Source organism: Homo sapiens, chromosome X (genome assembly GCF_000001405.40).
Source record: "Homo sapiens chromosome X, GRCh38.p14 Primary Assembly".
Classification (NCBI taxonomy): Eukaryota; Metazoa; Chordata; class Mammalia; order Primates; family Hominidae; genus Homo; species Homo sapiens.
Window position 1 is genome coordinate 124196836 of NC_000023.11, and position 16533 is coordinate 124213368.

General features: G+C 38.3%; 2 pseudogenes; one reads left to right on the forward strand and one right to left on the reverse strand.

Moving 5' to 3' along the window:
* LOC124900500 (uncharacterized) lies at nucleotides 908-1014 on the forward strand (annotated as a pseudogene).
* HSPA8P20 (heat shock protein family A (Hsp70) member 8 pseudogene 20) lies at nucleotides 7897-9041 on the reverse strand (annotated as a pseudogene).

Here is a 16533-nt window from a genome sequence, read left to right on the forward strand (position 1 = left end):
AAGCACTCATCACCTTTATCTGGTGTTACTAAAGTAGCTTTCTAAAAACAAAGTATGGTTCCTAGCTGGTATAAGACCCTCCATAGTTCTTATACCATAAACTTCTGCTTGAACACTTCCAGAGATGAGGAGCTTCCTGCCTATGATGCCATCAATATGATTATTAGACAACTCAAGTAGTTTGAAAGGTGTCCCAGTAATTTCTTTCTATTAGGCCTAGTTCTACCCATCCTGTGGGCTTCTCCCTACCAGATCCTGAGGACCTACTGCTAACTTTTCAGGTTCCAGCCTCTATTTCTGTCTTCCCTGTGGAGTTAACTTGGGTAGGTTGAACTACATTTCCTGGAATTGTCTTCCTTGTGTGTTTCCTCTTAATGTGGGCCACAAGAGGGATTCTTGTGTGAGATTTGAAAGGCGGAAGTGAAACAACAGCCATTTTGCTATCCAGAGTAGGTGTTTAGTAATTGACCCATTATCATGGTTTCTGCACTAATCGCCATTCTCATGAGTCTACTGGATGTAGTCAGATTAGCATTGGGTACAATAGTGAATAAAGACTGGTGCAGTAGAGAGGCCTGATCACTTCTTTGGCTTGGATGGTATGCTTATCTGAATGTGGTCTAGTGAATTCAGATCACATTTAGGAACATGGCAGCAATAGCTTCATGATGACTGCTGGGCTCACTTCTACCCAGAGTCTCATTAACCCCACAAAGGAGTCTAGATGTTTGTTTAACGGGGTTTTCTTGAAGCTGTTTCAGGGCGGGTGCAGTAGCAGCAAACCACTTGGGCCTGTGAAGAACATCATAGCCCACACCAGCATATCTGGATGGATATGCTGCCCAGCAATGCCAATTATAGAGAAATAAAAAAAAATGAGCAAAAAAAAAAAGATAATAAAAACCCATGTAACTTGTGGACAAGGCTTATTGACAGGTGCAAAAAATAAATAATCTTTTGCCACTCAGAACTCATTGTTCAGTATGAGTTTTGATACACATAAGAAGGAATATTATTAAAAGCAAATAAAAAAATCATAATTCCACTGTCCTGAGGCAACAACTGTTAACATTTTGGGTACAACATTGTTTATGTTCTAAGTTTGAATCTGACTCTGCCAATGCTTTTTGACTTGGGCAAGTGTTAATTTTTCCAGCCTCAATTTTCCCATCTGAAAACAGAGATAATAATGCCAACCTAGCAGGGCTGTTGTGAAGATCTGACAAGATACTTTATGTAAAGCACGTAACCCATAGTTGCTCTTAAAATTTTAGCCATTATTATTTTACAAGGTGTATTAGTCTGTTCTCATGCTGCTGATAAAGACATATCCGAGACTGTGTAATTTATAAAGAAAAAGAGGTTTAATGGACTCACAGTTCCACGTGCCTGGGGGGAGGCCTCACAATCATGGCAGAAGGTGAAAGGCGCATCTTACATGGCAGCAGGCAAGAGAGAATGAGAACCACGCAAAAGGGGTTTCCTCTTATAAAACAATCAGATCTCTTGAGACTTATTTACTACCACAAGAACAGTATGGGGGAAACCACCCCCATGATTCAATTGTCTCCCACCAGGTCCCTCCCACAATATGTGGGAATTATGGGAGCTACAATTCAAGATGAGATTTGGGTGGGGACACAGCCAAACCATATCACCAGGTTATTCCAATTCCAAATAACAGTCCTAACTGTTAGGACTGTTATTGATCTTTCTTCTGATCTTTCTTGTGATGTTTTTCTTCCTTAAAAAAAGTGAAAATGTAGATAGAATAAGATTGGCCACAAGTTGATAATTGTTGAGAACGAGGATTCATTATACTATTCTCTCTCTGTCTCTCTCTCTCTTTCTGTGTGTGTGTGTGTGTGTGTGTGTGAATTTTCTACAATAAAATGTTTCTAAAAAAAAACACACACACAAAAAACAAAGAAATAAAGAAGACTTACATGCAGGTTTTGCCCCAATCTCTCGTTATAAACTTGTTTTCTTCAGTTTAGGACCCTGCAAGTTGGGCTTGCAAATATAAACTGGGGCCTTTTACTAAGGATATTTTGAGATGCAACTATATGGCATGAGCCACTACTTTTGGGTTACACCATTTGTGGATAATGAGATGAATGGGTCACTTTCCCCTAAAAGGGCACAAAAATCTATGGGACGTGGTAGGGGCAGTATAGAGGTTTGTGCAGAGAAGCTAATGTGGCAGTGACCTGACAATACTGTTGAGTAGTTCTTGCTTTTTAGGCCCTCTGGTACTGCCTAGTTGATCTTCTTCTGCCTCCCTTCCATCCTGCGGGCTTCTCCCTACCAGATCCTGAGGACCTACCACTAACTTTTCAGGAATTTTGTGAGCTAGATGATGTTACACTGGGAGCTTGCAGTTGGCCGTGGTGGGAGTATTTATATGATGGAAATCAGCAAACATTAGAAATCAGATTTTTTGTTGTTGTGAAGAGCTGTTTGCTAAACATCTACCAGTGCACCACTAGTCATACCATTCCAGTAAGTTCCATTTTTCCTCATATGAGCTAGAGTTGGATTCTGCTACCCTTCTCCTAGCTTCTCCAAGTAAAACAATTAGTAATGAGTATACTGCAGAGAGAGAGAGCAGTTTGTTGCTGCTGTTACTGCTGCTAAGTGCTAAACGTGGCATGCGGCTCTTTTTAAGTCAACGACTCCACAGATACTGATAAAGTGCTTAATTTCCTTTTCTAATTGTCAAATAGCTTTTTGGGGAATTCTAAGTGACACATACCAGCACTGGAGGTCTCAGAGAAGACAAAAGCTACCACAGCTTCTTCATGCATGCCTCCAACTCCATACATTCCATGGTTTCATAACAAGATTTTCACCTTCTCTTCTTCACTTTTCACTGAGATAGAGGACTGGATAAGCTGCAACTGACCTCCTGCAGATGTTTCAGATTTAGTGGTTCATTGATTCCCATTGTCAAGTTTTCCCTCTGGTTTTAGAATCCTGTTTTCTTTTGGCATTAAGGAAACCTGGGTTGTACACTCTGTCACTAACTCACTACATCAACTTGGGCAGGTCTCATCTCTTAAAGCTGTGATTCACAAATTCACTCTGGGCTCTGGCATTGTCTAACTATGCCTATTGTTGTTGCTGTTGTTGCTAGGGTGATGGGACTACCATTGATTCCCTATCCCAATTGTCTTTAATGTTGTTTAAAACCCTTTCTTGGTCCAGTGTTGTGGCTCACACCTGTAATCCCAGCAATTTGGGAAGCCAAGGCAGGAGGATCACTTGAGGCCAAGAGTTTGAGACCAACCTGGGCAATATAGGGAGGCACCGTCTCTACAAAAAATAAAAAATTAGCCAGGTGTGGTGGTATGCCTGCAGTCCCAACAGATTGGGAGACTGAGGAGGGAGGATCGCTTGAGCCCAGGAGGTCAAGGTTACGGTGAGCTATGACTGCACTACTGCACTCCAGTCTGGCCAAGAGAGGGAGGCCCTATTTAGAAAACAAGCGAACAAACAAAACACCTTTTTCTTAAATAAGTTTTTTAATTAGATGATTTTTTTGAGAAACATTCCTATTTCGAAGTTTTAATAACACAGAGTAAAATGTGAGATTCTGTCATTCCTTCCCCATTCCCATTTCCCTTTTTAGAGGTTGCTATGGTTATTAATTTGTGTATTTCTTTCAGGTCTTTTAAAATACATTTACATATATACATAAATACATATACTTGAATATAGTACGCACGCATGGGTAAATGGGATCTTACTACATATCTTGACTTCTGACTTGTTTTCATGGGCTAAATCTGAGGAGACTGAGCCAGAAGACTACTGGAGAAGGTGGTTCATCCCCAATTCCCCCACTTCCCTGTATGTGGCTACCTGCAGTGTTTTTGTCTGATTTTGCCCTTCCCTCCAAGCCCCAAACTCCCTCAATCCCCAACACTATAAGATAAGAACATTAGCCCTCCACATCTGAGATTTGAGTGGAGGAAGAAGCCAATTGTGAATTATGTAAGGTTGGAATGTTACTACAGGATGTATATTGCAGGGATTTATGGTGCCATAATTTACTTAACACCTCCCTATTGAGCACCTGTTTGTCTGATTTTTCATTATTACAATCTTGCAAAGAACATCCTTGTAAATACATATTATGCATGCATGTGTTCATAAGTTAAATTCCCTGAAGTGAAAAAGTCAAAAGGAATGAACCGTGAAAAGTTTGAGAGACTCTGCCAACTGCACACTCAAAGATCTCATTTTATCTACCACCAGTAGCATATGAGTGCCTATTTCCTCACACATTGTTGATATTAGATATTCTCAATCTTTTCAATTTTTGTTTATCTGATGCACCAAGAATAATTTCATTTTAATCAGCATCTCCACCAGTAACTAGTAGGTTGAACAGCTATTTATGACAATTGGTCATCTTTTTTCATCTTAAGAATTGCCTAGTACAAGCTTGTCCAATCCATGGCCTGCAGGCCACATGCAGCTCAGAACATCTTTGAATGTGGCCCAACACAAATTCATAAACTTTCTTAAAACATTGTGATTTTTTTTGTGATTTTTTTTTTTTTTTTTAGCTCATCAGCTATCATTAGTGTTAATGTATTTTATGTGTGGCCCAAGACAATTCTTTTTCTTCCAATATGGCTCAGGGAAGCCAAAAGATTGGACTAGTACATCAGTAAAATGTCAGAATAAGGAGGTTGGGCACGGTGGCTCATACCTGTAATCCCGGCAGTTTGGGGGGCTGAGTCAGGCGGATCATTTGAGGTCAGGAGTTCAAGACTAGCCTGACCAACATGGTTAATCCCTGTCTCTACGAAAAAAAAATTAGCTGGGCATGGTGGTGCACTCCTGTAATCCCAGCTACTGGGGAGGCTGAGGCATGAGAAATACTTGAACCCAGGAGGTGGAGGTTGCAGTGAGCTGAAATTGTTCCACTGAACTCCAGCTTGGGTGACAGAGTGAGACTCTGTCTCAAAAGATAAAAAAAAAGTCAGAATAAGGAACTTCAAAAGTTAATTGCTTCATAAAAGCAATAAATAAACTGGCAAAAACTGTCAGAATCAACTTTTTCAGAACTCTGGAAACTAATAAAAATCTTACAGTAACCAGGGGAATTCTTAATCAGGAAAACATATTTGGATCTCAGTAAGAGCACTTTGTGGCATTTAAACTTAAACTATCTCCCAAACCCAGGCTTGGCAGTGGCTTTGAAGACAATAGCCTTCACTCCTGGAACAAGTACCCAGCATTGGAGGGAGTAGAACAGAGCTTATTCTCAAAGAATTCTGGTGTAATGTTTTGACCTGACTGGTGACTCCCTTGAGGATAGACTCGAAGGACTTGCTTTTATTTTATCTAACTTGAAAATCTCCCAGAGTTGAGATGGCTACTCTGGGAGTGTTTGCCAAAAATATTTAAAGGCAAATGTTTTAGGTGCTCCCACATGGGGAGGGATAACACTTGAGGCAAACAATAGAAAACCGAAAAGCTTGGGAGGAGAGGCTGGAAAGTGAGATGCTTTAGGGAATAAGGGCTTTGAAAACTCCTACATATTCTTGGGAATCTGAATGGCCATATGTATGTCCAGGGCTGTGCACATGCTCAGGAAAGAACTGAGAAGGCCATAAGCTGTCACCTCTGATTCACCTCCAGGCTCTGTGCAAGAAGGTAGTATAGGCTCAGGCAGAGTTTTAAACTGCCTGACTGAGTGTTGAAGATGTACCCCAATATAAACAGAACTTCTCAGTAAAGACTGAAATATTGTGTGTGTGTGCTTTTTTGGTTCCAGGCATGTTAAGAATTATTTGTTGAATCACTGGCTGACCACTAAGTGTATGGAAGAAGGAATCCAGTGGCCACACATGACAAAGAATACAGAATTTACAAAATTAGTTTATAAAAGTCATTAAACAAACAACAACAAACCATGAGGAGGGGGATTTGATTTTTAGAGTTGCCACATTATAATATTCAAAATGTCCACTTTTTTTTTTGTTTTTTAAAAGAGGCATGCAATGAAACAAGAAAGTGTGCCTGTACGCAGGAAAAAAGAAATTAATAGAAATTGTTCACACGGAGGCCCCTACATTAGATTTACTCAAAAAGCCTTTTAATTAACTATTTTAAATATGCTTAGAGATCTAAGGATACCGTGAGTGAAGAACCAGAAGAGATCAGGAGAATGATGTCTCACCAAACGGAGAATATCCAATGAAAATTATAAAAAGAAATCTAATAGAAACTCTGCAGTTGAAAAGTACAATAACTGAAACAAAAAAATTCATAAGAGGGGTTCAGCCACAGACTTGAGCAGGCAGAACGATGAAACAGCAAACTTCAAGATTTGTCCATTGGGATAATCCAGTCCAAGGACCAGAAAGAAAAACAAAAGTGAAGAAAAATGAACAGAACTAAGGGGCTTGTGGGATACCATCAAGAATACCAGCATAAGCATAATGTGAACTCCAGAAGAGAATAAGAGAAAGGCAAAGAAAGAATGTTTAAAGACGTAATGGCCAAAACTTTGAAAATTTGATGAAAGACATTACTTTTTGCCTCTATAGAGCTCAATGAACTCCAAGAAGGATAAACTCAAGGACATCCACACCAACACATATCATAATCAAATTGTACAAAGCCAAAGACAGAATATTGAAAGCAGCAAAGAGAAACAACTCATTATGCACAAAAGATCCTCAATAAAGATTAACAGCTAATCTCTCATCTGAAACAATGGAGGTCAGAAGACTGTGGGATGATGTATTTAAAGTGTAGAAAGAAAATAAAACCCTGCCAATCAATTCTATATTCAGCAAAACAACCTTTCAAAAAGGGAGAAACTGAGACATTCCCAGTTAAACAAAAACTGAAGGAGTTCACTGTTGTTAGAACTTCCCTACAAGAAATGCCAAAGGGCATCCTTCAGGCTGAAATGTAATTACCATATATAGTAACTCTGTAACTGCATGAAAAAAAAACAACACCGTTAAATATAACTACATGGGCAAAAATAAAAGTCAGTATTAATGTGTCTTTTGTTTATAACTCTTCTTTTTTCCCATATGATTTAAAAGACAATTGATTAAAGTATAAATTATAATCTATGTTGGTGAGTACATATTGTATAAAGATGTAATTTGCGACAACAGCTTCAGGGTGGGCTGGAGCTATATAAGAGCAAGGATTTTTTTTAAGTTACATTTTTTATTTTATTGTGGTAAGAACACAACATGATCTACCTGTTTGACACATTTTTAAATGTACAATACATTATTGTTGACTATGGGTACAATGTTGTACAGCAGATCTCTAGAGCTTATTATTCATCTTGCTTCGCTGAAATTTTATGCCTGTTGATTAGTAACTCCCTAGTTCTGCCTTCCCCCAGCCCCTGGCAACCACCGTTTCACTCTGTTTTTGGTGCCAATTTTAAATACAGTTGTATTCAAGACATTGCATTTTGCACTTACAATACAGTGCTTATAAAGTTCAATGCTGTTTCCTTCCTCTGTGCACATGTTCCATATTCAAGTATTGAGAATATCCAGTAATTTACTATAGCAGCTGAACTTTAAAACTGCCATAGAATTTGCTGCAAATTTGGGTCCTTCAAAGTTTTAACTGCGTGGAACAATGTTATATCTATACATGGGTTAGGTTAATCAACCTCTTCAATAGAGGGCACTGAGGAAGCAACACTAGAGGGAGGAGTTCTGTCACCAAGGAAGCTCCCAGGCATTCCTTCAAACGCCTCCTGCACTCTGGTACAGCTTGGTAACGACGGGGTTGCAGACTTCCTCCAGCTCTTTCTGCTGATGTTCAAATTCTTCCTTCTCTGTAGTACCATTCTTATTGAGCCAGTTGCTAATTTCATTACACTTGTCAAGAGTCTTCTGTTTATCCTCATCATTGTCCTTCTTATGGTTGTGCTTGAACTCAGTAATAAAATGGTTGACCATTTGCTTGTTGAAGTCTTCTCCACCTAAGTGGAGAAGCTGTATATTTGACCTCAAAGATTCCATCCTCAATAGTGAGGATTGACAGATCAGAAGTGCCACCTCTTAGGTCAAAGATGAGCACATTTCTTTCTGCTTCAACCTTTTTGTCTAAGCCATAAGCAATAGCAGCCTAAGCCATAAGCAATAGCAGCAATAGTTGGCTCATTGATAATTCTTTTTTTTTTTTTAGATGGAGTCTTGCTCTGTTGCCCAGGCTGGCATGCAGTGGTGGGATCTTGGCTTGCTGCAACCTTTGCCTCCTGGGTTCAAGTGATTCTGGTGCCTGAGCCTCCCGAGTAGCTGGGATTACAGGCACACACCACCAAGCCTGGCTAATTTTTGTATTTTTAGTAGAGACGTGGTTTCGCTATGTTGGCCAGGCTGGTCTCGCACTCCTGACTTTAGGTGATCCACCCGCCTCAGCCTCCCAGAGGGCTGGGATTACAAGGGTGAGCCACCACACCTGGCCTTGATAATTCTAAGTACATTGAGACTAGCAATGGTTCCAACATCCTCGGTAGTCAGATGTTGAGAATCATTAATGTAAGTTGGCATTGTGACCACAGCATTGGTAACAGTCTTCTCAGGGTAGGCTTCTGCAATTTCTTTAATCATTGTCAGACCATAAATGACACCTCCTCTGGATGGAAACTTTTTGTCTCTTACTTGTATTCTACTTGGACTTTGGGACTATCTGCATCATTCACCAGCAAGAACGACCAATGCTTCATATCAGACTGGACAACAGCATCATCATATCTGCATCCAATCAGATGTTTGGCATCAAAAATCATGTTGATGGGGTTCATTGCAACTTGGTTCTTTGTGGGATCACCAATTAGTCATTTGGTATCAGTAAAGGCAACAGAGCTTGGGATGGTTTGATTTCCCTGATCATTGGCAAGTATCTCCAATATTCTGTGCTAAACGACATCCACACAAGAGTAGGTGGTGCCAAGATCAATACCAACTTGATCCCTTAGATCCCTTAGACATAGCAACAGGTCCCTTAGACATAGTTACTTGCATGTAGGTTTGGCTTGGCTTGCAAAGAATACACACGAATCTCGAAGGCTGCCACTATGTTCAATGAGCCATTTCACTTGTTGATTCTGTGAATTTGACAATTTTACATACATCATAAAAATTGAATCATGCTTTATTTGTTATTTGTCCTTTTGTGACTGGCTTATTTTATGCAGTATAATGTCCTCAAGGTCTAATCATGTTGTCACATATTGTAGAATTTCTTTTTTAAAGGCTGAATAGTATTCCAGTGTATATATATACTACATTTTCTTTATCTATTTATCTGTTGATGGTCATTTAGGTTGTTTCTACATCTTGGCTATTATGAATAGTGCTGCAATGAACACAGGAGTGCTAATATCTCTTTGAGATTCTGATTTCAATTCTTTTAGATAAATACCCATAAGCGGGATTGCTGGATCATATGGTAGTTCTATTTTTAGTTTTATGAGGAACCTTCATTCTGTTTTCCATAGCATCTGCATCATTTTGCATTCCCACCAACAGTGTATAAAGGTGCTTTTAATTACTCCTAATCCACACCAATGCTTGTTGTCTTTTTTGTTTGTTTGTTTAGGAGACGGTCTTTCTCTGTCACCCAGGCTGGAGTGCAGTGGCATGATCATAGCTAACTCCAGCTTTGAAATCCTGGGCTCAAGCAATCCTCCTGCCTCAGCCTCTTGAGTAGCTAGGGCTACAGGTGGGTGCCACCACACCGGGCTATTACATTTTTTTTTTTTTTTTTGTAGAGACAGGGTCTTACTATGTTGCCCGGGCTGGTCTTGAACTCCTGGTCTCCAGTGATCCTCCTGCTTCAGCCTCCCAAAGTACTGGGATTACAGGCACGAAGCCACCACACCTAGTCGGCAATGGTTTCTTAAGTATGAAACCAAAAGCACAAGGAAAAAAAGGGGAAAAAAGATAAATTGGACTTCATCAAAATTTAAAACTTTATGCTTTCATGGACACATCAAGAAAGTGAAAAGACAACCCATAGAATCACAGAAAATATTTGGAAATCTGATAACAGTCTAGAATCCCAAATACATATAAAATTACAACTCAACAACAAAAAACAACCCAATCAAAATGAACAAAGAAATAGACATTTTTTTCCGTGGAGTATATAAAAGTGAACAATAAGCATATGAACAGATGCTTAACATCATTAGCCAATAGAAGAATATGAATAAAAACCATAATGAGATACTACTTCTCTAGCATGGCTGTAATTTTTTAAAAAGTGAAAATAAATTTTGGAAAGGATTTGGAGAAATGAGAACCCTCACACATTGTTGACGGGAATGTAAAATGGTGCAGCTGTTGTTGAAAAGTTTATTAGTTCCTCAATAAATTAAACATAGAATGACCATATAGCAATTCAACTCCTAGATACATACTTGAGAAAACTGGTAATATATATTCACACAAAAACTTGTACGCAAATAGCAGCATTATTCATAGCATCCAAAAAGTGGAAGCAACCCAAATTTCAATTATTCAACTCTAAAAATGAATGAAATACAGATACATGATACAATGTGGATGAACCCTAAAAAATTATGGTAAGTGAAAGTAGCCAGAAACAAAAGGTCACATATTGTATGATTCCATTTACATGAAATGTGCAGAATAGGTAAATCCATAGATTTATGGAGAGCGTAGATTTATTTGGAATGTAGATTAATGGTTACCAGGAGCTGGGGGTGGGAAGGAATGGGAGTGACTTTTTAATGTGTATAAGTTACTTTTGGGGTGATTAAATGTTCTGGAATTAGATAGTGGTGGTGGTTGCATAATATTGTGAATGTATATATTTCTATTATGTGGTTGGTGTTTTATTAATTTGTAGAAACTATATGTGGTGGATATAAAATTCTTTTTTAATATGCTGCAAATATTTTCTTTCAGTCTTTTGTCTATCTACTAAATTTCCTTGTGTTATCTTTTTCTGTACAGAAGTTGAAAATTTTTACATACATGTGTTAATTTTTACATACATACACATACATGTGTAAATTTTTACATACATGTGCAAATTTTTACATACATGTGTTAATGTTTTTTCTTATGGCTTTTGAATTTGAATCTTAAGAAGATATCTCCCACTCCAACATTATAAAAATATTTTCAGTGTTTTCCTCTAATGCTTCTGAGCTCTTATTTTTTAATTAAAAAAATTTTTGTTTTTGAAGCAGGGTCTCACTGTGTCTCCCATTCTGGGAGTAGAGTGGCATGATCTCGGCTTGTTGCAACCTCTGCTTCCCAGGCCCAAGCAATCCTCCTACCTCAGCCTCCCGAGTAGCTGGGACCACAATTGTGCGCCACCACGCCTGGCTAATTTTTCATAGAGACGGTGTTTCACTAGTTGCCCAGGCTGGTCTCGAACTCCTGAGCTCAAGTGATCTGACTGCGCTGGCCTCCCAAAGTGGTGGGATTACAGGCATGAGCCACTGTGCCTGGTCTGAGCTTTTATTTTTAAATGAAGGTTTTAAAAGCATCTATAATTTTTTGTGCTTTGGGCATGAAGTGAGAGTTTAACTATTTTTTTCCAAGTAGTGCTGTACAATTTATTGAACAATTCATGCTTTCCCTACCAATTTGAACTATTACCAGTATCATATTTTGATAATAACATTGAAAACGTAGCAGTCTTTGGCAGTCAGGTCTTTCAGAGATTCCTGTGTAATGATTGATGGTTATTATAGCCTATTCTATTTTAATTATAAATGTACTAAAATAATGCAACTTATCTCTAAGCAGTTATTTTAAGTATTTTTCTCTGGAAGGCATTTTTGTGAAATTATTCGGTTGTCTCATCAATTTTGATGGTGGATATATTCATCTGCTCAGGCTGCCATAACAAACTACCATAGAGCGGGAGGCTTGCCCAACAGAAATTTATTTTCTCACAGTTGTGGAGACTGGAAAACCACCGTCAAGTTCCAGCAGGGTGGGTGTCTGATGAGTGTTCTCCCCTTGGGTTGCAGACAGCTGCCTTCCCTCTGTGTGCTCACGTGGCCTCCTTGGTGTGCTTGTGTGGAAAGAGGAAGGAAGAGGGGGAGGGTAAAGGAGGGAGAAGAGGAGGGGAGAACGAGCACTCTCTGGTGTCTCTTCTTATGAGGACACTAATCCTATCAGATTGGATCAACTCTAAGATAATACTTTAATATATTACTTAGTAATTTTTATAACTTTCTAAGTATTTTCTTTTAAGTACCTTCTTACTTAATACTTAGAAAAATTCCTGGCTGGGCATGGTGGCTCACGCCTATAATCCCAGTACTTTGGGAGGCTGAGATTGGCGGGGGATCACCTTTGGTCAGGAGTTGGAGACCAGCCTGGCCAACATGGTAAAACCCTGTCTCTACTAAAAATACAAAAATTAGCCAGGCATGGTGGTGGGCACCTGTAATCCCAGCTACTTGGGAAGCTGAGGCAGGAGAATCGCTTAAACCCGGGAGGCGGAGGTTGGAATAAGCCAAGATCGAGACACTGCGCTCTAGCCTGGGCAACAGAGCAAGGCTCCATCTCAAAAAAAAAAAAAAAAAAAGAAAAAGGAAAAAAAAGAGAAAAATTCCTTCCTTCCTTCCTCCTTCCCTCCCTCCCTCCCTCCCTCCCTCCCTCCCTCCCTTCCTTCCTTCCTTCCTTCCTTCCTTCCTTCCTTCCTGTTCTGTATCCATTCTACCTTCTTTTGGCAGAAGCATGCCCATTTCCTTTGGGAAGATTCTTTTTTTGACCCTGGATAAATTCTGGTAGGAATATTGATCAAGATACCCTGCCCTCTCCTAGTGTAGGAGTAGTGATGTGGACCCAAGCTAGGTCAATTAGAAGCTTCCTCTTGAATTTGATCTATGAATGGAGTAATAAAAAGACCGCATAAAGTGTTAAGCAGTTCTTGCTCTACATCTTCTGGAGCTCCCTGGTTTCTGCTTTGGTTTCTGAGGAGTTGGTTTTTCCAGTCTCTTCTTAAACCTGTTCGCTGCCCTGTAGCCTTCAAATAAATTCCCTCTTTTCCTAAGTTAGCCAGAGTTGGGTTTTGTCACAACCAAAAAACTCCAACTCATATAAGGGTGGTTCATTAAATCATTTGGCAAATATTTATTAAGTACTTACTATTTGCCAAGGGCTGTACTAGTCACCGGGGAGGGCTTTCCAAGTGTTTAATGCGCTGATCTCTTTTGTCAATAAGAAAGAAAACTGGGAGTTAACTCTCTGCCTTCATTATAAGTGCCAAGAAAAAAAAGAGACTCTAGGAGACTCCCAGTGCTCCACAGGAGAATAATTAACTATCATTAAATAAAGTTTAATAGAAACAATAAAAACACTAACGTTAACATTATGATGATTTTGTCTAGTTGAATTAATTCAGAGCTTTAATAATTTCCAACTTTGTAACAAGTTTCTTTAGAGGTCATAGTTATTGTTATACTCCTGAGTAAATTTGGGTAAATCCTTGTTGCTCACCACTCAGGCACACATTACATAGTGTTGCCTATGTGAGAAGCAGCTCTATCAAAAACCAATGCCAATTATTTGAGGCATTTGCATTTGGGACTTATTAATAGCCATGGGTGAAAAAGATATTCACTTGGTACTTACGGCCTTTAAAAGATGAAGCAGTAGTTTGAAGGAACCAGTGGTTTGGGAGAATTAAATACTGATTCCTATTGTACCCCGTTGACATACACAGTTTAAGCTCTGATCTTGTCTTAAATTATTGGAATTGTGGAAACTGCTCCATTAATAACAATTTTAGTAACTTTGGGGGCTTAGTAATTGGTTTCAACATGACCTTTCTCTTGAAACATTTAGACTCTCCTTTCAGATTCCAGACATAGAACTAGTGTAGATTCTTTGGCATAATTGATTTGGAGTTCAAATGTAAAAGCACTCTTTTCTCTTACAGAAGCATCTGAATTCATATCTCATGTATCTCCTGATCAGCAGCCAAATGTCTCTTTGAACTGAACTTTGGTTTCAATTGCCTGTGAAAGAACACGATTCTTCTCATCTTCCTCCAAGCATTCTTCTTACTGCAATTTTATTTGCCCTTGAAAGAGCCTGTCTTTGCAATTGGCCCTTGCACGGGTGTCCCTTTAAAATTGGGTTTCCAGATCCATAAAAATTCTAATTTAAAATACTATTGGTTATGACTTCCTATTCTTGGTAAAAGAAAACAAATACTCTTGGTGATTTGAAACTAAGATATTTTCATCTTTGGGACAAATTTTGTAGCATTTAAATTTATTCATTGTGTGGAGAAAAAAGTTATTTTGAAAAATTGATGAAATTTTTGAATATTCTCTTTAATCTGTGATATTTTAGAAAAATTCAAAAAGTGTAAGTTTCTTAACTCATACAAATCCATAAAATGATGGGCCACAAAGCTCAATGCAAGGAAAAAAATAATCAATGTGCCCTACAGCATCCCCAAAGTAAATTGTGCTAATATGATGTATTTTAAGCCAGACCATCTTGAAAATAACCTTCAAATTTGGTGAAAATATGTCCACTTGTTTTTACAGCTAGAGAACAGACAAAACTAGAGAACAGGTGTTAATTACATACAGGTAAGACATAAGTGATCTGTGCAGTCATTGATGACCCTGGCCCTTTCTTCCGTGACTTCTGCTACTCATTAGTATCTCCACCAGAGGGCAGACAGTAAAAGAGAAAGGAAAGGAGAGGAAAGGACATGAGGCTCTTGCAACCCAGCAAAGAACTTGAAACTCTTTAAGCCCATCTCTGAATTCATTCTGAGGTCCTGATGGATCTAGTTTATTTGAATGACAGTATTAGCTCTGATAGGGAACTGGGTCCCAATCATGACTCAGCCACTTCAGGTAGTCAAGAACTATTTACTGAGTGTCTGGTATATGTGAGGCACTGTTCTGGACACGGGATACAGTACAGACAAAAATGTTAGTTTGTGGAACTCGCAGTCTAGTGTTGTATTATAATCCCCATGAGCCTCAGTTTCTTTATCTGTACCATGGGGACAATAACACTGGAGTTTCTGTGAGCATTTAAATGAGATACTTAAGCACCTAACAAAGTTTATTATATTTTAATTTATACCTTGTACAGTTTTATATAGCGCCTATACAATTTTTAAATTTTATACTTTACAGTCCATACACAGTTTTATATTATTTATTATAATTTATAGTCTGTACATAGTCTATGTAGTGTCTATAAAGTTTTGAATTCTATTTGACATCATTCCATAAACACTTTTCTATGAGTGATTCTACTTAGTATTTTAATGGTTATACAACATTTCATCGTGTTGATTTGTCATAACACTTCAACACTGCTCTATTCTATTAGATACTTGGTCATAGAAAGTTCTCAGTAATTATTTGTTGAAAAAAATGCATGAACATCACATACTTATATTACTTGCATCTTTTCAACATTATAAATAACACTTTATTTTCTGAATAATGTTTCTGGTAACTACTCTAAAAGTAGGATTATTGTATCAAAATGCATGACACAAGGCATGAATAGTTTCATGATCCTCAATATATATTACCATCATGCTGCTGTAAAGACTGGTACTAATTTAAAACTAATAACTACATTGGGGTTTAATTTGTATTATTTAATTATTAATATTGTTGAATTTCTTTTGTATAGTTACTTACTATTTGAATATCCATGTAGTCAAACTTATCTGTTTGTGGACCAGGACAATCTCGAGAGAAGACAGGGCAGGCCTTCTATGTAAGATGTTAGCTACAAGAGCACAAATAACCACCTGAGCCATAAGGGCATCAGGAGCAGAAAATGAGGTGACAGAAGGAAGAGCCATGCAGAAAATAAAAGGGAAGGGCATAAGAGACAGATGTTACAGTTTTGCCAAACTTACAGATGATAGATAAAGACTATTACCACAAAGGAGAACCTTTTTGTTACATCATATCGAGGGTGGGGCTGTTTTGTGCAATGAGCACCTGCAATGTTGCAAGTGAAGTTGGTGAACCCTGGTATCTTGGTTGGAGTTGAGAGTGCTGATGTAGCACTAGGCATGGAAACGTTGATGAATTAGTATGAATTGGGGCCTGGTTTGCAATGTGATTTGCATATCTGTGGTTTGGGGTTATGCATGCCGTATATTTACCCCTTTGCCCTGAAGAATAAAATTGGTTGAGTAGTTGAAATTAAGCAATGAGTCTTTGATCTGAAATGGTTTGGTAAAATAAGCAATTGTGTGGTTTTAAAAAATACTGCATATTGAAATATTTTCAAACCTACAGAGAAGTTACAAATGCAGTGCAAATAACTTCCATATCTGTTTCACCTAGATTCTTGTTAACATTTTACTGCATTTGCTCCCTCTTTCTCATATATATATAAACATTATTACATATATAAATAATATATAAACATTATTATATTAATGTGTATATATATATACACATTAGTCTTTTTCTGAACCACTTGAGAGTAAGCTGAAGACATGATGTTCTATGATCCTTAAATATTCCAGTGTGTC